Source organism: Homo sapiens, chromosome 9 (assembly GCF_000001405.40).
Source record: "Homo sapiens chromosome 9, GRCh38.p14 Primary Assembly".
NCBI lineage: Eukaryota > Metazoa > Chordata > Mammalia > Primates > Hominidae > Homo > Homo sapiens.
The window spans coordinates 41,914,204-41,937,630 of record NC_000009.12 but is presented as its reverse complement, the minus strand read 5'-3'; the positions used below and the strand labels follow the sequence as shown (position 1 = coordinate 41,937,630).

General features: G+C 37.5%; 1 protein-coding gene across 1 annotated transcript in view; it reads left to right on the top strand.

Moving 5' to 3' along the window:
- The window catches only part of CNTNAP3B (contactin associated protein family member 3B), a 238,891-nt gene that overhangs the window by 191,796 nt on the left and 23,668 nt on the right, over positions 1-23,427 (top strand). Inside the window, exons 15-18 of the mRNA NM_001201380.3 lie at positions 8,187-8,314; positions 13,538-13,708; positions 14,736-14,954; positions 17,322-17,561. Coding sequence (NP_001188309.2) covers positions 8,187-8,314; positions 13,538-13,708; positions 14,736-14,954; positions 17,322-17,561 — 758 coding nt within the window. The remainder of the gene's footprint in view (positions 1-8,186; positions 8,315-13,537; positions 13,709-14,735; positions 14,955-17,321; positions 17,562-23,427) is intronic.

The following is a 23,427-nucleotide window of genomic DNA, read 5'->3' as shown; positions in this document are numbered from 1 at the left end:
GCAGAAACAATTTTCTCATGTAGATTGCAATGCCTCTTTTTCAGAAGTTCTTTTTGAGGTTATTCTTGAAATGCATATTGGTTTTCTTTTTTTTTATTTGTAATATGTAAATGTTTTCAACCTTTGGGTTCATGTCAGCAACTTAAAAAGCATTGTCATAAAACAACTAGATCGTGTAGAGTACGTGCTTTAAAAAAAAACTTAGGCCAGGCACTGTGGCTCATGCCTGTAATCACAGCACTTTGGGAGGCCAAGGCAGGTGGATCACCTGAGGTCAGAAGGTTGAGACCAGCCTGGCCAATGTGGCGAAACCCCGTCTCCACTGAAAATACAAAAATTAGCCAGGTGTGGCTGTGTGTGCCTGTAGTCCCAGCTGCTCAGGAGGGTGAGACAGTAGAATTGCTTAACCCAGGAGGTAGAGGTTGCAGTGAGCTGAGATCGCGCCACTGCACTCCAGCCTGGGCGACAGAGCAAGACTCCACCTCAAAATAATAATAATAATAATAATAATAATAAATTAATAAATAAAAAATGTAATGGTCATTCCAGGTGTCAGTATAATTGATTTGGACATAAAATAGCTAATCTAAGCAGTAATTTGATTCCTAAAAATTGAGTTGTTTGGCCTGCATGGTAGTCCACTTATTTATTTGGCATAAAAAGTCTACTTTGCATCACTTTAAAAAATATTGTGAAGTTGGGAAAACTCACTTGAATCTACTGGAGCTTTCTATAGAATACATACTATACATTTACATGGATATTATTTTTAATCTTCCTCAAGTTCAAAATTACAAAATGATCATACAGATTTATGAGACACTCTTTTTGAATATTTTGATATGCAATCTTAATACAACTTTCTCTTACTTAAAAATGAATGCAGTTTTAGTGCAGTGAGTAACAGGAACAGATCTGATCCATAGTTTCAAATCTGGCCACCAGTAAGTTTCAGGTCTGAAGTAATTTGCCGTCAGTTAAAATGGTTTTGTACCATATTTTGTATGATGTACATTTTAAAGTGTCTGGTATGATAATGTGATGATGTGTGTTAGCTTTGGGCTCTAATGAGACAAACAGCGACCTTCAAATCTTTTGACGGACATCTTTAACAATCCTAGAGGTTTTCATTTCCTCCATTCCACAAGGGGCTCCTGCCTGTGAGGGCTCCAGCCCTCCAGCTCCTGGCTGTTCAGAAGACCTCCAGCTCATTGGTCTGTCCCCACCCCCATTCTCTACAGGTCAGAAAGGAGAGCATTGGCAGGTTATTACAAGAAAGCCAGAATGGCATATATGCTAGTGGCTTTATAACTTAGTTCGAAGAATGTTAACCGTTTTGTTTTGTTTTTGTTTTGAGACAGAGTCTCTCTCTGTCGCCCAGGCTGGAATGCAGTGGTGCGATCTCAGCTCACTGCAACCTGCGCCTCCCGGATTCAAGCGATTCTCCTGCCTCAGCCTCCCGAGTAACTGGGATTACAGCCGAGTGCCACACCTGGCTAATTTTTGTATTTTTAGTAGAGACTGGGTTTCACTATTGGCCAGGCTGGTCAACTGTTTTTTTGTTACAGAACCTTCTGTTAGTATTAAGTGCATACTTTATTGTAGACTTCACGTATGCTTAGGGCAGTAACCAGAGGAACGTATCACTTGGAGCCACCTGTATTGAGTGACCCTCCCATGAACTGAGTTTGAGGAGGGGATGGGAGGAACTGAGGTGGGTGCAGGTCCTCTGATACCCTTAGCCATGTCACTTCAGCACCGTCAAGGACTGCACTGGTGTGACAGAAGCCCTGGGCTTTCATTTGGAAAAAAATTCAGGAGAGAAGCAGGTTTTAAAAATTAACTCCCCTCCTACATTCAGAAGGGAGCATTGTGGAGTCATTTGCTTTTTAACCTTATTTTATTTACTTTGCAGCTTCCAGTAGACAGGTCTATCCAACAGTAAGACCACAAGCATTCTGAAATCCTAACCCAACTCTTGTAGATTGTTTTGTAAATGTGGGGGTGTGTATGGGGGTGGGAAATTACAATTTCTATTTTAATTTTTCAAATAAAATTGATTTTTCAGTTTATAAAAATGGAATTTACCAGTCTCATGAAATGAAAAGATTTATAATTGTAATAATTTAGATTAAGGTGTAGACATAAGAACATAAATCTTAGTCTTTATTACTTATTTTCTATTACTGAGGTGTGCTTAGTAAAGTTTTCCTGGTGGAAAGTTTATAATAAAAATAGTATTTGGGAATGAAAGTAAAGTGAAAGCTATTTTAAGTCTCTTCAGGCATATGTCCGTTAATGGGGCAGGCAGTATTGTTAATATAAACCATCGCCATTTTTCCATAAGTTGTCCCTGTAATCAGCAACTCGTCTAAGCATATTACTTAAAAAAAAGTTTATGATCAGACAGTTCCTCAGGCACAGTAAGAATATTCTATCAAATAACTATAACATGCCAAAGATTTATTATAAAAACATATATTTAAAAGGCACTATAATGATTTAAAATATTGAACTATGCTGCAAGTCAATATATGTGTATAAATGTATAGTGGACTATGTTCAAATAGACCAATATATTCTCTAAAATATACATATAACATATAATTCAGCTGTCTGCAAAAATCCACAAGTTGTTTTGCTAATATAATGATGACACATGTAACTGTAATATTATTTTACTTAAGAATTTAAATAGGACTTTTGTGTGATTATCTTAGAGTCTTTAAAAGTAACCACAAATAAAAAGCATAAAATAAGATGGTTTAAATGCATACTAGTGTACAAATAATCATAATAAATACGAGTAAACTCTGTTCATTTAAAAACCAGATATTAGATTTTATCATATTGGATTTTTAAAGAAGCTATAGCTTGTTTACAAAAGATAAAATATAAGCACTCGGTGAAGTTGAAACTAAAAGAATAGAAAATATTTACCAAGTAAATACAAATCAAAAGAAAGCAGATATAGCTGTATTATGTCAGACAAAGATGAAAAGCATTGTTAGGGATAAACTTGAACTCTATCTAATGCTGAGATAAACTCACTAGAAAGATCTCACTACACTTGTGTGTATCATCAGATTGTTTAAAATATATAAAGAAGTGGCAGGGCGCCGTGGCTCACGCCTGTAATCCCAGCACTTTGGGAGGCCGAGGCGGGCAGATCACAAGGTCAGAAGATCGAGACCATCCTGGCTAACACAGGTGAAACCCCGTCTCTACTAAAAATACAAAAAATATTAGCCAGGCATGGTGGTGGGCGCCTGTAGTCCCAGCTACTCGGGAGGCTGAGGCAGGAGAATGGCATGAACCTGGAAGGCGGAGCTTACAGTGAGTCAAGATCACACCACTGCACTCCAGCCTGGGCGACAGACCAAGACTCTGTCTCAAAAAAAAAAAAAAAAAAGTATGTGTGTGTGTGTATGTATATATATATGTGTGTGTGTGTATATATATGTGTGTGTGTGTATATATATGTGTGTGTATATATATATGTGTGTGTATATATATATATATATATATATGTAACAAATATGCAAAGGCAAATTGACACCCAAAACAGTGGAATAATTAACATAACATTTTTGGGAATGAGTAAGTGAAGCAGGTAAGAATATTTTAATATTATAATTAACAAACTTGATATAGCAGCCATATATCGTTTAGCAAGGAAAAATTATTTCTTTATAGAATGTATTATACATTATTGTTGAATAAGTATAAAAAATTTTGTAAATGGATGGAATCTTAACAAATTTTACGGAATTGTCATGATGGAAACTATATTCTTAACTGTAATCAATAATGAATATATAACTTTTAAAAGCTCATGCATGTGTCAGTTAAAGACACAAGAGGAAATAAAATAGATGTAAGTGATGAAAAGTTTGGAAAAGAAACAAACCTGGCAGATATTGTAGATAATATGATTGCCTACATAGAAAATCCAAAATAATATAAAGAAATATCAGGAAAAATGAGAGTTCAGTAAGTTTGCTGAATTTATGGTCAGTCAGTATTGAGGAATTACTTGAATTTCTATAAAATCGTAAAATAATTACCATTACACACCTAGAAAAATTTTATTTGCAATATTAACAAAAATGTAAAGTTCTGTGGAATAACTGCAGTACTTTTATGGAAAAAATTACAAAACTTATTCAAGAGAATTAAGGACAGCCAAATAAATGGATTGACTCACTACTGTCGTGGATAGTATGACTCAGTATCTTAAAGCAGTAGTTCTCAATCGGGGGTGATTTCGACTCTTGGGACATTTGGCATTGTCTGAAGACATTTTTGTCATCACACAGAGAGGAAGGTTGTTTATATTAGTGTCTATTAATTAGAAATCAGGGTGCTGCTGAGCATCCTACAGTGCACAGGACAGCCCCCCCCATGACAAAAAAAAATTAGCCCAAAATATCAGTAACGCTGCTGTTGAGATACCCTCTTTTAAAGTTGACATTCTCCTCAAATTAGTCTGTAATTTTAACAAAATTCCAAAAAATGCCAAGTGTTTTTACTTGTGTGGATTGCAGCAACCTGGTTTTAAAATTCATATGGAAATTAAGGATGAAAGGATAAGCAAGATAATTTTTAAGATGAAAAATAAAGTGAAGAAACTAGTTCTGTTAGCTGTCAAGACATACTGTATTGCTGTAGTAATTAATGCAGGTTGAACTGGCCAGAAGATAGGCAATTAAACAGAAACTGAGAATCTAGAAATTTTTTAAGTGGGTTAGATGTGGATCATAATGATTTTATTATTGCTGACCTACTCCCCCAAAATAATCATTAACAGTTGGGCTGGGCGCGGTGGCTCACACCTGTTATCCCAGCACTTTGCGAGGCCAAGGCGGGCAGATCATGAAGTCAGAAGTTCGAGACCAGCCTGACCAACATGGTGAAACCCCGTCTATACTAAAAATACAAAAATTAGCTGAGCGTAGTGGCGCACGCATGTAATCCCAGCTACTCTGGAGGCTGAGGCAGGAGAATCGCTTGAATCCTGGGGGTGGAGGTTGCAGTGAGCAGAGATCACACCATTGCACTCCAGCCTGGGCGACAAGAGTGAGACTCTGTCTCGAAAAAAAAAAAAAAAGAAGAAAAAAAAGTTAAAAAGTTGACTCAACATTTCTCCCTTTTAGCTTTCTTTGCAACCTCCCAAACTTATGGCTCTACTTTGCCTTAAATAAAGTTCCCTGGCAAATAATAAGTAGTAGCTTTTAGAAGTTTTCACACTTCCTAGGAAAGTACAATTTCCAGAACCGTAGGAATTTCTAATAAATAAAAATTTTAATAAAATATAAAATAAAAGCAAAAAGTCTTTGAAAGTTCTCTTACTGAATTTTTAATACTGCTCCAAGAGATTATGGTACCTATGAAAGCACTATTTCCAAGTGTAGACTATAGTATAAGCTTTAGAAAATAATAGGGAGAAAAGAAAAATGAGATGTCCCTATTAATTAGGAAGTTTTGAGGAAGTCTGATAACTATTACAAATCCTGAGTATTCTATTTTGATTTCCAAAGGTTGGGAATCTGCCTGTAACAATAAGAAACTGGTGAAAAACACTGGCTATCTTTATGCTCAGAATGAAAACACCAGACTTTCCAAAACAATGAAAAAACAAGACTTTATTATAGTATCTGCCCTAATTAAACTGAAATGTGGATTTCATTTACACATTCTCAATATTTTGCACAGTCAGTATTGAAAATGGAATGAAACTTGGAGCTCCCGTGAAATAGATCTTTTAAAATACAAGCATCCTCCATAAATAATTAAATTGCATTTTCTCTACTAGACTATCTTGCTAAAATGATGATCACAGAATTGGAAATGGTAATTTTTAATGGCTACCACATTAATAAAAAATTTCCTAGACCTACCTCATTCAGCAGGAGACATATTTCTAGCTTGTCTACCATCAGTCCACTCTAAAGCTGAATGGTGATGCCTTTAGATAATCAATATTCTGTTCTTTGCATTAAAATGAATAACAGAATCTTAACTAGGTAAAGCAACAGGGTTTTAGTCTGAATTTTAGAAATAAGCTTTCTTTACCATTAAGTGTATTTTTTCAGGGAATAATCTTAAATAATATAGCCATTTTATTTTAGTTTTATATTTTCCAATTTGAAAGTTTGATACCTAGTCTTTTATAAAAGAAGTTGATTAATGGGTACAAAAGTCGAGTTAAGTAAAAGAAATTCTAGTATTTGATAGAACTAGAGAAATTATAGTTAACAGTAATTTATTGGATATTTCAAAATAGCCAGAAGAGAATTGTAATGTTCCCACCACAGAGGATAACTGCTCAAAGTGATGGATATCCCAATTACCCTGATTTGATCATTATGCATTGTATTCTAGTATCAAAATAGCACATGTGCCCCCAGTATATGTACAACTCTGACATGCCAATTTAATTTTTTTTAATTCAGAAAGCCTTATTCTGAAAATACAAAAGTGTTGCAATGATGAAATATCAATTATTGTGATCTTTTGCCACAAATGCATACAAAAGAAGGTTTGAGAACTGGGCAATTTAAAAAATACAGTATTTACTAGATACTGTGGAGTTTCTAACCGTAACTGGACTAAGAGTGTTTTGTCTGTAAATCAGAATATACATGCAGTTGAGACATATATGTAATAAAATATAACCAAAAGTATATAAATATAAGCATTTTATTATATATGCATATATGCAATATTATTGGCCAAATATTTATTACATATACAGTTACATACACATATATAATAAAATACTTTTGCAGCAGAGTAGACAAATGCCTTTATTTTGGCCAGAGACAAAATTAGTGGCATAGCTAAGACCAGGACCCCAGGTTCCCCTAGGGGATCCTCCAGGTCTCTTTGTATTGGACACAGACGTGTGCATTTATTTTCCCAGTCACATAATTAATACTCATGGTATTCAATAGGCTGTGTGCTTTCAGAAGGCAGAGACTAAAATATATTTTTTACTCTGTGTCCTCAATTCCCAGGACAATGTCTGTTCGACAAAAGGTGAGCGCTGAGTGTTTGGGGTTTTTTGTTTGTTTTTTGTATTTTTTGAGACAGGGTCTCACTTTGCCACCCAGGCTGGAGTGCAGTGTTGCACACATGGCTCACTACAGCCTCTACCTCCCAGGCTCAAGGGATCCTCCCACCTCAGCCTCCCATGTAGCTGGGACTACAGGTGTGCACCATCACACCCAGCTAATTTTTGTATTTTTTGTAGAGACGGGGCCTCACTATGTTGCCCAGGCTGGTTTCGAACTCCAGAGCTCAAGCAATCTGCCCACCCCAGTCTTCTAAAGTGTTGGGATTACAGGCATGAGCCACTGTGCCCGGCCTGTGTTTGTTGCCTGAACTACTGGGAGCAGTGTTTCACAGACCACTTTCACACTCATTAGTCTATGTATTACTTATAAGGGTGTAGTATGTATTTGGTTTTGAATCTGTGGGACTCATTTTGCATTTACAAAGTTAACAAGGAAAGAAATACCCAGTAATCATAAAAGGACTTTAAAAAATAATGATAAATTAATATTCTGCAAAATGAATATCTAAATCCAGTGTTACTATTTTTATTTGTAAAGAATAATCACTTAGATATTATTCTAAGACAATTTTAGAAGGGAAGTTACCTTCTTGATTTTTCCCCTTCTCTGTAATCATTTAGATCAGGAATTGGCAAACGGGTCAGGAATTAATAACCTCTTGCTTTGGGTGAAATCCAGACCACTAGTCTATTTTTGCATGGCAGTGAGCTAAGAATGTTTTCTTTACATTTTTAAAAGGTTGAAAAATAAAAAGAATATTTCATGTCATATAAAACTTGTATGAAATTCAGATTTCATATCCAAAAATTTTTATTGCAACCCAGCCATGCCTGTGTCTGTGGCTGCTTTCACACTTGGTGGCAGAGTTAAGTAGTTGCTGTGAGAAGCTGCATGGCCTGCACAGCTTACTGTATGGTCCTTTACACAAAATGTTTGCCCATCCCTGATTTAGATTCATGGTAGTCTCTGTGCTCTCAAAATATTGAAAATGTTAAGTATTCTGTTAAGCTCTATGATGTTAGTTTCAAATTGAGATAAGAGATCAGAGTTAATTTTGCCCGTATGTTAATCAGAATAATTTTAATGGTTTCGGTTGTTGTTCTTTAGGACTAGTGACACAATAGTCCTTTCCCAAAAGGAGCACCTCCCAGTCACTCAGATTGTGATGACAGACACAGGCCAACCACATTCCGAAGCAGATTATACACTGGGGCCACTGCTCTGCCGCGGAGATAGTAAGTAGTGTCAAGAAAAAGCTTTATTTTCATAATAACTTTTTTTGGTTATAAAGGGGTAGACAAATGCCCTTGTTCTTGCCAGAAAGAGAATAGTGGCAGTACTAGGACTGGGGCGAATATCAGGAAAACACACATACCATAAAGGCACAGTCAGTACTGAAGATCTGTGTTTCCTTACTGAAGCATTAGTTTATAGAAAATGAATCATCTTTGTTTTAACTTATTACTTGCTTGGCTGGATTTATTATCAATTGATTGTATTTTTTCCAGAACAATCATGAGATGAACTATTTTCTGAATGCTAAGGGATATTTATTCATTGCCCTTATACTCTTCAGACAACTATAGTGGTAGGAAATTATTGGACACTCTCTATTTTCTGACCTCTGTACATACTGTTTTACATTACATGGCACCGAATGTGTATTAATCTCTTTCCTGCAGCATTTTCGTTCATGGGTGGCTTTCATGGTCAAGTCCTCACTCCCCCACCTCAGTGGCACTATAAGCCCAGGGTTCTTAGAGGATCTACCTACTGGGTAGCACGGGAACCACAACTAAGCTAGTAAAAATCTTCTTTCCCTGAGAAAAATTGTAATAGTGTTTCTTACCCACTAGCATCATACATTGCCGTGGAGAAGTCTGAGACTAAATGTATTTTTATTTCCTGTTCTACCTCAATGTGTGGGGGCTACTTCTGAGAGGGGTGGTTCAACAAGGAGCCTGAGCCTCTCTGTACATTCTTGCCGAGTGTGCCAGATGGTGTGGTGTCTCCATCCCCTAATACCAAGCAGTTTCTGTAGCCAATCGTGTAGGCAGCTAAGTAGTTCAAAGAGAACACAACATCACTATCGATGTGTACTCACTCCCCAGAGAGGGCGGGGACCGGCTTGTCTCCTGCTTGATGAAGGAGTCCCGGACCCTTGTCTGGGGGCTCCTCATCTGAGATGCAAACCTACCCACTGTGTGTGTAGCATCCACCTGGGCCAATGGATTGTGTTGCCCTGTGAAATTTGGAGATAAGGGGAACCAATGCAAATATTCTGACACTCATGCTGCATGCTGTGCTGTGAGCAATAAAGTTCTTTAACTCTGACCCAGAAATTTTGTGTTTTCTATCAGCATCCATTAATCTGTGGCAAGCTAAATTGTTAGCTTGCAAGTAGGGTGAAATCTCAGATTCTTCACAGCTCTTGACAGATATGTTATCCTTCAATTTCAAAAACTTATCCAGAATATGCCTTAGCGTTAATTATTCTGTTATTTTTTTCTAAAATGAAATATGCTTATTTTGACCGAAATATTCTGTTCTCTTTTAAGAAAAAATGGTTTTTATTATGCTTTGAATACTTTGTTTCATTTGGTGGATTCTCTTCATCTAGGACTGTTGACTTGTTTCCTTTGCCCCCCATACATTTTTTCTGTTTCTTCCAATGGCTTTAATCTCTTTGTCCTTCTCCTATGCATTCAATATGATTATTCTAAGCTTTTCCCAATGTCAGTAATTTGTTATCAGCTGTGTTCTCCATTTCCAGATATTTCCGATTTCTCTGTTACCTCTGTGATTTTGTTTGGGTCTTTGATTTTTTTTCCTTAAAAATCATCTTTTCTGTTTATCTCATATTTTAGCTCTTATTTTACTGAATTGGTTTTTATATTATTCCCATAGTGTGAAACTCTTATGAAATTTTTCTTTCCTTGTGTTCTCTCTTAATTTCCTTCCTCCATCCCATTCAGATGGCTCCTTCCTTCCTTCCTCCCTCCCTCCCTCCCTCTTTCTCTCCTTCCCTTCCTCCCTCCCATTCAGTCTGGCTTTTATACTCCTTCCTTCCTTCCTTCCCCACTCCCTCCCTCCCTCTCTTCTTTCTTTCTCTCTCTTTCTTTTCTTTCTTTTTCTTTCTTTCTTTCCTGTCTTCTTTTTTTCTTTCTCAGTATGTTTGCACTGTTTCTGTGCTTTTTGAAACATTGTTTATACTTGTAGTGTAAGTCTACACTACAGGTCTGTCTGGCAGGTCTGTCCAGACATTTAATTCATTTATATGGAATGGAGTTGAATTCTTCTCGACATTCATCTCTTCACAATCAGACACATACTTCTTGTCCCTTCTGAACTGCAATAGCAGGACTAGAGTTGGTCATCCTATCAATATTTTTTCCCATAATCTAAGAGCTCAAGGGAGGGATCTGTTGAATTGTATCTGATTTACTGGCCATTCTCTGTGCTGTTTTATCTTCAAGAATTATTAAATGTCCTGTGCCAGGCATCACACTGAAGCATGGAGGGTATATCTGCAGGCTTCAGATGCCTCCCACAGTTCAGTAATAACCCCTGGAAATTTGTAGCTTTTTCCCCTGCCTATTGATACTCTGACATCAAACACTGGTTTCTAGGTACTCTGTACTTCTCAAAAACATTTTCTAGATTATTTTCTCTCTGGAAATTTACCTCAGCCCTTCATTTCTCTCCAAATGTGGCTGTATTTGTGAGACTCTTCAGGATATGTCATTCACCTTCAGTTTATATCCTACTTTCAGCAAGACTTCTGAAAGTATGGAGAAGAGAAAGTGTGATATTTGAAATATTCCCTTCTCTTTTTGGGAGACTGAGATGGGAGGATGGCTTGAGCCAAGGAGTTCAACACAAGCCCGGACAAGATGGTAAGACCTTGTCTCTTACAAAAAAACTAAAAATTAGCTGGGCATGGTGGCCTGTAGTCCCAGCAACTAGGAAGGCTTAGGTGAGATGATCTCTTGAGCCCAGGAATGTGAGGTGGCAGTGAACTATGATCATGCCACTGCACTCCAGCCTGGGTGACAAAGTGAGACCTCATCTCTAAAATAAATAAATAAATTGATTAATGAAGAAAGAAAGAAAAATAAAATATTCTCTTCTGTAAAACTTGTAGCTTCCTCTTCGTTTCTCTTTTCCTTTCCTTATCTTCATCTCTGTTTTCTTTAACATAACACTTATTGATTCTTTTCCCTTCTTTTGGGGCAGCTGGGACTAGGGGATCTGCAGGGATAGGGTCAAGGAATGACCACTGGGTTAGAAGCTAGGTTCCACACTGGGGAATGAGCAAATATGTAAAAAAAGTGAGGAGCATAGGAGTGACCTCACTGAGGAAAGAGTTATACATGTGGGAAGGAGGAAGACTGTAATGAACCCTGTGGTGCTGGGTTAAAAACGGAGGTATCCACATGAACTCATGGATTTTAATATACATAATAGATAACTGTAGAATACACATAGAAGAGAGAGACTGCGTGTGTGTATGTGTGTGTGAGAGAGAGAGAGAGAGATACAAATACACATATTTCCTAGCTGACTACTGAGAGGGCTAGAAGCAATGACACCCTAGTAAATAGCCTGCAGATCTGGGCTTCTAAACACCATTTTCTGTCATTCTCTGCTAAAAAAGAAACCACGACTCCTTGAAGAAATGGCTGATTCCAGAAATGTGGCAGAGAAAATTTAAGATGAGCCTGGATCATTTTGTTATGACAAAGGGGAAAAAAAAAGCTGAAAAAGGCATGGGTGTCAGCTTAAAGGAGCTGCCACATTTGAGACAACTTAAGCATCAAAATAAGTTATAGAGTATAAACCATTGAATAGAATACAAATTCAAGAGTGACGTGAATAAACAAATGGATAAATACACAAATAAATTAGTAAAAGATCAAGAGAAAAGCTATTTCTTGGTTTGTTTGTTTGTTTGTTTTTGAGATGGAGTCTCGCTCTGTTGCGCAGGCTGGAGTGCAGTGGCAGGATCTCGGCTCACTGCAAGCTCCGCCTCCCGGGTTCACGTCATTCTCCTGCCTCAGCCTCCCGACTAGCTGGGACTACAGGCACCCACCACCATGCCTGGCTAATTTTTTGTATTTTTAGTAGAGACGGGGTTTCACCGTGTTAGCCAGGATGGTCTGGATCTCCTGACCTCATGATCCGTCCGCCTTGGCCTCCCAAACTGCTGGGATTACAGGCGTGAGCCACTGCGCCTAGCCGAGAAAAGCTATTTCTAACGTAGGCATGTCAACCAATTAATGTGGAAGGAATGACAGAGCTTAGAAAATCACTATTGGCAGCCATCAGAATAAAAATTCAATCAGGAGCCATCAATATATTGTAAAACCATTGGATGAAAAAATTTTAAACTGGGTAAAGTTGTGTTTCTGTAACCTTAAAGTGTCAAAAATACATGAAAAAAGAGAAAAATAATAACTTCATGTTGGAGAAACTGGACAAATGCCACTTTACAAGGCAGTTGAAACTAACAGGACCAGTGATGGGCTTATCAGCATTGCTGCCTGCTGCTGCGACACACTGAGGAGAACACAGCAGCCCTTCTGTGGTATTTTTGACAAAAATGCACAACATGAATCCAATCATGAGTATGTCAGACAAATCCAAGTTGAGGAACATTCTGAAAGTCAACTGAAAAATACCAAAAAGTCAAAAGTACACAAAAGATAAGAAAAGACTCACACACTGTACCAGAATAAAGGACACTAAAGAGGCCTGAGTAATACATGTGATGTGCAGTCCTGTGATGGGTTTTGGACAGAAGGGAACAAATAAGCTTCTTCTTGTTCTTGATTGTTCTTGCCATGAAAGGAATTAAGACTGTGTGTGTGTGTGTGTGTGTGTGTGTGTGTGTGTGTGTGTGTGTGCAGGAAGGAAAGCAAGAGTCTGTGTTCTGGCTTCTGGAGTCATTTTTCCAACTACCTCCTTCAAATCTCCACTTGGATGCCTAATAGATATCTCAAATGAAACATGTCCCAAACTGAGCTGCTGCTCGAACCTGCTTCTTTAGAATTATTTCCCTTCCCAGTTAGACCAAAAACCCCAAAGTCACCTCAGACTCCACCCTTCTTCTCACATCTTACCGAGTTCTTCAGTAAGTTCTGTTGGTCGTACCTTTGAGGTGATTCTGAACTTGACCCTGTCCCTACTGTGTTGCTGCGCGATCCCCTGACTGGTCTCATTGCTTTTGCTTCGCTTTTGTTTGGCCTTCTCTGAACACAGAATTCCAATCCTCAGCGTAATCACCATTTAGCTCTTGATGTCATCAGTATATGACATGGATGCTCAGAACCCCCAGTGAAAGCTCATATACATTCTATTAATGTATTTAGCAGTCATAATCCTGTAAGTATCAAATGTAGCTGTTATTTTTGTTTCATGACTTTTTTTCCTTTTGTCGTTTTCTCTATTGTAAACAGAGTCATTTTGGAATTCAGCTTCCTTCAACACTGAGACTTCATACCTTCATTTCCCTGCTTTCCACGGAGAACTCACTGCTGACGTGTGCTTCTTTTTTAAGACCACAGTTTCCTCTGGGGTGTTTATGGAGAACCTGGGGATCACAGACTTCATCAGGATTGAGCTGCGGGGTAGGCTGGCCACTCTGGACAAGTCACAGGGTACCCATTATTTAGCAATAAAAGCTTTAACTCAACAAAATGGTAGTATTTCATTCTTACTTTGTGATTCTATTTCATTATAAAACACTAAACTTCTATGATTTTAGGTAATTTTTTGTTTTTGAGAGAGGGAGAGAGGATTTTGCTGTGTCACTCATGCTGGAGTGCAGTGGCATTATCTTGGCTCACTGCAACCTCAGCCTCCTGGGTTCAAGCAATTCTCCTGCCTCAGTCTCCTGAGTAGCTGGGACTATAGGCACGCACCACCATGCCCAGCTAATTTTTGTATTTTTGGTAGAGGTGGGGTTTTGCCATGTTGACCAGGCTGGTCTTCAACTCCTGGCCTCAAGTGATCCGCCTGCCTCGGGTTCCCAAAGTGCTGGGATTACAGGTGTGAACTGCCACACCCAGCCAGTAATCATTTTTAAGAGAAAATAAAACAATGAAGCATGAAGCACGTAATAATCCATTAAAATGTCATGCCTTCCCTAGAGTACTGAACAGCAGAGCCAGAGCTTTAAACCAAACTCATCACATTGTTTACTGAATTCCAAAAATATTTGACCAGACATATTGTTTTTTATGTACCCAAAGCTTAATTTATGACTGTCAAAATTTACATTCAGTGTTTATAGAATTAGATGAGACTTTGAGCCGTTTGTAAATAAAATTACTGAAACCTCAAAAACAAATACTATTTGGTATTCTAGCTATGGGTACATAGCTATGGGTAGTCCAGCTATGGGTACATATCTCTACTATTTAGGACTTAACAAGGTTGAATTGTGAACTCTGAGGATAAATATGTTAAAATCCATTCTGTTTTCCTCCAGGATACAGATTTATTCTGCCCCCACCCCAACTCACAGTCTTGTTTTTCTGCATCGCCGTCATTATCTCCTTCCATCCTGAGCGTGCCTTCATGTTTTCCTGTGTCTGCACAAGACTCAATTTTCTGTGAATTTGCTTGAGCAATATTCATATCTAATATTTCTAGCTCCCACAGAAGTGACATTTTCCTTCGATGTGGGGAATGGACCTTGTGAGGTCACGGTGCAGTCACCCACTCCCTTTAATGACAATCAGTGGCACCACGTGAGGGCAGAGAGAAATGTTAAAGGAGCGTCTCTTCAAGTTGATCAGCTTCCTCAGAAGATGCAGCCTGCCCCTGCTGATGGGCACGTTCGTTTACAGCTCAACAGCCAGCTCTTCATTGGTGAGTGCTGGTGGTTTATAACTGAATTTAGTGTGAGTCCAGAGAGGGACCAAAAGAAAATAAGAACTGTGATGTACTGAGAGCAACAGTTGCCAACAACTACTGCTTATTGGTACTATTTGCTGATAACCTGGTAGGTTCCAGGAGCTTGCTGTGTGCTTCTTATGTGACATTTCTTTTGTTTGTTTGTTTTTGTTTTTATTTTTGTTTTCAGACAGAGTCTCACTGTGTCGCCCAGGCTGGAGTGCAGTGGTGCAATCTCAGCCCACTGAAACCTCCACCTGCCGGGTTCAAGCGATTCTCCTGCCTCAGCCTCCTGAGTAGCTGGGATTACAGGCGCAGGTGCCACCACGCCTGGCTAATTTTTGTATTTTTAATAGAGACACAGTTTTACCATGTTGGCCAGGATGGTCGTGATCTCTTGACCTGATGATCCACCCACCTCAGCCTCTCAAAGTGCTGGGATTACAGGCGCGAGCCACCGGGCCCTGCAGTATCTCAGTGTTTAGGTATCAATGTTTAGGTATTGTCATCTGTTTACAGATGAGATAGCCAAGCCTCAGAGAAGTGGAGTAACCAGCTAATGAGAGAGATCCCAGGATAGCCGACCCCCAAACTTGAACCATTCACATTGCAGAGGATTGGCATATGTGACAGCTATATTTTATCAACACTATTAGTGAGATCATTAGACATTTTTATCCATTCCTTCAGTTTCACTTCTCGGTGGAGTTAGAGAGCTTGTAATTGGGACAGAAGTCCTCCAGGGTCCACTCAAAACCAGATCGCAGGATACCCGCTGATTGGAAGCAGCACTGCGCACCTCCCCCGCGGCCAGGCTTCCAGGAGCCCACTCCCGGTTTTCCTCGCTGCTGTTCTCACTTCTGGGGCTCTCTCATCACAGGCTCCTTGTTTATAACCCGGTCTGGCTCATCTGTTCTTGCACTCCATTTATTTAAAGGTGATAGCTCTGGAAGTCTTTCCTTTAGTTTGCTTACTTACTGTTTTATCACTGTTGTTTATTTTTCCCCTTGGGAAAAATATATTTTGCTATATTGCTTTTGAAACTATTCTAACGTAGGAGCTACACAGATTAAAGCTCTCACTTGTTCATTCTTAAGTGTTTTAAAGCGAATAAGGATGCAATCTAATTAAAACTGGACTAAATCACAAATTATCACCCAACCTAATTTACAGGGGAGGGTAGATACAACTTCCAGGTACTAAATGCTACACGTGAACCCACGTATGTATGTGGATGTGGATGGGGTGTTATACCATGACTTCCTAAAACCTAGCTTCAGGCGTGGTTAGCTCTTCTATTAAGGTGCAGTGAGGCTTTTTCAAAGGACATGAAACCATCAAACTACTGGAAAGGAGGACTACACGGAGGGGTCAAACCAAGAACTTGATTTTCTCACTTGTAATCTTGGAGATTATTTAAGGGAATGCCTAGAAACACAATTAGCATAAAATTCACCTAGAATCAGCATTCATTGCGGTGGATGAAGCACTGGCTTCAGAATCACCCACAAAGCTGATTGATAGTTCAGATTTGGGGCCCCCACCTTAGGCCCACCGAATTGGAATCTCTGGGAGGAGGCTAAAAACTGCATTTTCCAGAAACTCTAGGTAATTTCCATGCTCCTAACATTGAGAATTGTCGCCTTCATAATGGTGTTTGTCACTACACAGGTGTTGTAAACCTCTCTAAATGGTTTCTTCAGCATTCAAGTTTGACATGACAAAATGTGCATGCATGCAGTATTCAATTACTGTTTAGCACTGTACCCTCTGAGAGGAGGAGATCCTGGGGTATGGTGTCACCCCTTCCAACTTCCCCTCCTTTGCTTATCCATTTCCTTTCACACTTTATTTTTAGAGTCCATCCAAGTAAGAAATTTATCCATATATATTTTTATTATTGTGAAAAATTTGGAAGTTCATACCTAACCATTATAATGCACATTCTTATTCATAAAGAAATTAAAATAATGTTTGATGAATGCACATTCTTATTCCTAAACAAAGTAAAATAGTGTTTGATGTGGTTTATATTATGTATTTTGTTCTTTGTAAAGGAACTAAAGTGAAATTCTTTCTTACCTGAAGTTAAGGAAATGTTTTTAGAAGGACTATTTGCCAGACTCACCATGTTTGAAAGTTATGTAAATAAATGTTTTATTCAATGTCATTTAAAGCTGCATATCTCATAACAGTTATATTTTCAAAATTGTATATGTTCACAAAATTTTTTGACACATTGTGATTATTGCCACTCTCCATAAGGCCTGAGTTTGACATGGACATAAAATCCTGAATAAAATACCAAGGAACACATTTCTATTTGCAGTGTTTCCGTTGTAGGTGGAACGGCCACCAGACAGAGAGGCTTTCTAGGATGCATTCGGTCTCTGCAGTTGAACGGGGTGGCCCTGGATCTGGAAGAAAGAGCCACAGTGACGCCAGGAGTGGAGCCAGGGTGTGCAGGACACTGCAGCACCTATGGACACTTGTGTCGCAATGGAGGGAGATGCAGAGAGAAACGCAGGGGGGTCACCTGTGACTGTGCCTTCTCAGCCTATGATGGACCGTTCTGCTCCAATGGTAAGTGTGACCAAGGAGCAGGTTATAGGGAAAGTACATGAAACTTAAATAGTATGAAGAATGCTTCTGGCATTTGATATTATAAAGAGAGGATAAGATTGAATTATTTGAAATGGAATAATTTCTGTACCAAATTCCTCTATTGAATTTAGAAGGGATATGACTGTTTTTGAAAACTTAAGGCTATCAGTCCTCTCTGGGTTTCTTATTTAGAAGATCTCTGGGTTACCCCAGCATCTGTTCAATGCTAATCCTCTCGAAATAATTTGGTTTTCAAAACTCTGTCCTTGTACTGTTCTAATTTTAACATCAGTAAAGCATCATTCTTATTTTTGTTTTTAATTTTTAGAGACAACGTATTGCTATTCAAGCCTCTCTGTTGCCCAGGCCGGACTTGAACTCCTAGGCTTGAGCAATCGTCTTACCCATTGTCCCTTGTGACAGTGACTTTAAGTGATTCAAAAGGCCTTTATAGAAATGTCTTTTCTTATAAAACAAGCATACTAACTAGAAGGGGAAAAGAATATTTAAATATTGACAGTCATTAACAGGATCACTCAAACACTTTGCTCTATGATGTTTGACTCTTCTTAGAGGAGTGCAGTGGGGTATCACACAGCTTCTGCTCAGGTACAATCATGTTTTCAAAAGAAAAGGGCTGGGCGTGGTGGCTTATGCCTGTAATCCCAGCACTTTGGGAGGCCAAGGCAGGCGGATCACGAGGTCAGGAATTCAAGACCAGCCTGGCCAACATGGTGAAACCTCATCTTTACTAAAAATACAAAAATTAGCAGGGCATCCCAGCTACTCGGGAGGCTGAGGCAGGAGAATTGCTTGAACCCGGGAGGCAGAGGTTGCAGTGAGTCGAGATCGCACCACTGCACTCACTCCTGGGCGACAGAGTGAGACTCCGTCTTGGGGAAAAAAAAAAAGAAAAGGAAAAAGGGACTGATTTTAGTATTAAGTACTCTGTACTGACTTATTTAATATATTTATAATACTTTTATGAAACCTCTTACAATATTGAATCATCAGAGCTAAAATGTAATTGTGTGTTTAAGTGTCTCTGGGCTGTTACACTTACTATTTTTAGCAGCAAAACAGGCTTTAATCACTATAAATTGTGTGACTTTCAAAAGAATTTTGAGGATTCATTATCTAGAAGTCATTTAAATTTTCAGAAGTTCTTGCATATGTCTTTTATTAGTCCTGAAGATCTCTGTGCTCACAAATCTCATAGCTCTGGTGCAAATACAGAGCTCTTTTTATATCTCAAGCCAACATCAGGAGTAACCACTCCTTCATGAGCACAAGTGCTGATTTCTAAATCATTCCCAATCCACATTTGCTAAGTGCAATTTGAATGTTATTTTATAACCCAAAATTTTCTTAAGGATAGACGTTATATGGTAAGTAAATGGAAAATGGTCCTCCAGTGGCTGGGGCATATGTTATAGTTAGATTACCTAATCTAATAAGAATGATCTGGATTTTCAGTAAATTCTTTATATTTTATGGAAATGGAAAGAGTGGAGTAGTATTCCAAGACAGTGATCATCACCCAACATTTTCTTTTTATTTACAGATATATTTGGGGGGTGTGTGTATGTGTATGTGTGTACTAAACACATTTTTGGAATTAACTTGATATAAAATTAAAATATCAACCTTTCATAAAGTGTTTTAAGAGAAGCTGAAAGCCCTTCAACTTTTCTCTCTCAGAATACTGTAGATACCACTTTGGATTAGCCTTTCTATCCAGACAGTAAATTTGAGAAACATCTTTGGCATAAAAGAACATTTCTAAATTCTGACCTTGAAGGAGGGTTGGTCTTCAAATCACCTTTTCTCTAGTTACTTCAGGAGCTCTGTTTCATGCTTCCTACAAAGTAAATCGATTTTTAAAGAGGAGGTAACATTCAAATAAAAAACCTGGTACTCTGGCATTTCCAGGCTGGCCACATAAGGAGCTCTGTAAACCCTCTCTCATACGAAACAGGCATAACTAGTAAAAATTATTATTTTAAAAAACAACTATTGAAAGTCTTTAGAAAATGTCCTAAGGAAATACATCAAATGAAGAAACATTTATTAATCAGTAATAACAGTGAGAGTTTGAGGCATTTAAGCCAAGACCCTCTCCCTGCACCTCCCCATCCCTAGCTCAGTATGACGGAAGCTCCACTCTATATGGATATAGCCAAGAAGCCAAAGGTTTCCTCTCTACCCAGGTCCTACTACAGAGATACTGCATTACCCCAAGATTGGGTGCCAGCATTTCTTGTCATCCCCAGTTTTGTAGGACAGAAGCTCTGTTCACGCAGAAACAGCTGAGAAGTCTGGGGTTTCCTTCCTACACCAACTCCTCATTCCAGGACATAAGGTCTTCAGGTGTGGCAGCTGGAAAAATCCTGTGTCCCAATTGCCCTCACTCCAGCTTACTTGTAAGGAACAGTTTCTCCACCAGGAGAGGCAAGGCAAGAAGTTACCTTTCCCACCCTGTGCCCTACTTGTAAGCAGAGGTTTTACTACAAAGGAGCAGGCCACTCTCACTCTCCACAGCTTCAGAGCAGTGAGGCACATTTAACCAAGAGGTAGAGGGAGGCCATGAAAATACACAGCTTGGTAGCCCTCCCCAAGTGAACTGATTTCTATTTGGAACAGAGCATGGATCAGTTTAAGCTAGTGGTATGAAGATATTGGCAGTAAGCAATTAAGAGAATGTTGATAACTCTAAGAGAGTAATGAGTTAAGCCAGGGAAGTTTAACAGAGAAAAGAAAAAAGAATCAGCAAACTTGAAGCAAGATCAGTAGAGATTATGTATCCTGAAGAATACAGAGAAATAATAATGAAAAAAATAAACAGATCATCAGAGAAATATCAGACATAACTAAGCACACCAACATATACGTAATTGAAAATACCAGGAGAGAGAGAAAGGATCAGAAAAAAATATTTGAAAAATAATGGTTGAAAACATCCCCAAATTAATAAAAATCATTAATCTAAGATACAGAAGCTCAGTGAAATACAGATGACACAAAGAAGTTTATATCCAGACACATCTTATTAAAAACTTTGAAAGCCAAAGTCAAGAAGGAAATTTTAAAAGCAGTAAGAGAAAAATCATATATACAAGGAAACGCCAGGATCAACAGCTAACTTCTAATCTGAAAGAATGGAGGCCAAAGGACAGTGAGATAACATATTCAAAGAGATGAAAGAAAACCATTGTCATGAAGAAACTTACACCCAGCACAACCATCTTTCATGTTCAGTAGCACAGGATGACTATAGTTAACAATAATTTATTGTATATTTCAAAATAACTAGAAGAGTGGAACTGGAATGTTCCTAACAAAAAGAAATGATAAATGTTTAAGGTGATGGATATCTCAGTTACCCTGATTTGATCATTACACATTGTTTGGTTGTATCAAAATATTACCTCTACCCCATAAATACATACAACTATTAGGTATTCATAAAAACTAAAAATTATAAAAGATAGTAAATATATCCCTACTTACAAAAAGCAGAGAATTCACTGCTATTAGCCTGCATTAGAGGAAATAACAAAGAACGTTCCTTCAGGTTGAAGGGATATAACCCAGACAATAATCTGAATCTACACACAAAAAACAAATAGCACTAATAAATGTAAGTGTGCAGGTAATTATAAAAGAAAGTATAATGTCATATTTCTTACCCTTTTCAGTGCTTAACTATTTTAAAAAGCAATGTATAAAACTATAATAGAGAATATACAAATATATAATGTATATATTTTCATTGTTGGGCCTATAGAAATATATTACAAAAAAACAGCACAGAGGAGACAGATGGCAGCAAGGCTGTACTGAAATAAGGAATAACACCAAATGGTAACATGAGTCAGAGGAACAAAGAAAGAGAACTAGAAATGGTAAATAAGAGAGTTTATAGACAAAGTCTATAAATATTTATTTGATCTTGTTTCTTTTCTCAGATTTTTTAAAAAGAGAACAAATTATATAAAATAATAATGGGTTTGGTATGCATAAAAATAGTTCCAAAAGAGAAGAAATAGAGCTATGTAGAAATAACTTTTCTAAATCTCACTTGTATTAAGTTAGTGTAAACCTGAAGCAGATTATTGATAAGATATATATAATGCAAGCTTAGAGCAATCACTAAAGAAAATAAAACATTGTCATGAAGTATATTAAAAGGCCTATATACCAAAACCTAGTAGGATTTATCCCAGGATTTCAGGAGTGGTTCAACAAATGAAAATCAGTCAACATATTACACAAGATTAATAGAATGAGAGGGGAAAAAAAAACATGATTATCTTAATTGTTGCTGAAAAAAAAAAACATTTAACAAACTCCAGTAACCTTTCATGATTGAAAAACAAAAACACTCAATAAACTAGGAATAGAAGGGAACTTTCTCAATATGATAAACGCCATATATGAAAAACCTGCAACTAACATCATACTCAATGGTGAAAGCTTCTTCCGTAAAATAAGAAACACAACAAGTATGCCCAGTTTTACCACCTCTATTTATCATAGTACTGGAAGTTCCAGCTAAAGTCATTAAGCAAGAAGAAGAAATAAAAGGCATCCAAATTTCAATAGAAAGGCTATCTCTCTCTCAGATTACCTTATCTTATATGTAGAAAACTCTTCAGAAAATAAAAGCTGTTAAGAGAAAATAAATAAATTCAGCAAAGTTGCAGGATACAAAATTAACACCAAAAATTTGGTTGTATTTCTCTACACTAGCAATGAAAAATCTGAAAGTGAGATTAAGGAAACAATTCCATTTGCAATATCATCAAAAAGAATAAAAAACTTAGAAATAAACTTAACTGAGAAAGTGAAAGACTTAGACATTGAAAACTATAAAACGTTGTTGAAAGAGATTAAAGAAAGAACTAAATAGATGGAAAGACATTCCATATTCATGAATTGGAAAACTTGAGATTATTAAAATGACAATACAACCCCAGCAGATTCAATCTAATTCTTATCAGAATCCCCAAAGCACTTTTTATACAAATGAAAAAGCCCCTATCAATATTTAAATAAAATTTGAAAAAGCCCAGAATAAGCAAAACAATTTTACAAAAGAACAAAGTTGGAGGATTCACCCTTCTTGACTTCAAAACTTACTATAAACTACATTATTCAAAACAATGTGGTACTGAATGAGGATAAACCTATAAATCAATGGAATAGAGCTGAGAGGCCAGAAATAAACCTACATACATACAGTCAATTGATGTTTAACATAGTCTTTGTCAAGATCATTCAGTAGGGAAGTAACAGTCTATTCAACATAAAGGTAGGAAAAGTGGATGTTCACATGCAAAGATTGAAGTTAGACCCTTACCAAAATTAACTCAAAATGAATCAAAGTTTTAAATCTAAAAGCTAAAACTATAAAATTTTTAGAAGATATATAGGCAGATCTTCATGATCTTGGATTTGGCAGTGGTTTTTTAAAAATCACCCCAAAAGCACGGGCAACAACAACAACAAAAATAGATTATTTGGACTTTATAAAAATTAACAACTTCTGTGTATCAAAGAACACTATCAAGAGAGTAAAAAGACAATCCACAGAATGTGATAAAATATTTGCAAATTATGTATCTGATGGAGGTTCACTATCTAGAATATGTTAATAATTTCCACAACTTAACAACAAAAAGTCTAATTGGACAAAGGACTTGATGAGACATTTCTCCAAAAAGATATACAAAGAGTCAATAATCACATGGAAAGATGATACTCGACATCATTAGTTATTAAAGAAATGCAAACGAAAAGTATAATGAGCTGCCTCTTCAAACCTACTAGATTGACTATAAAA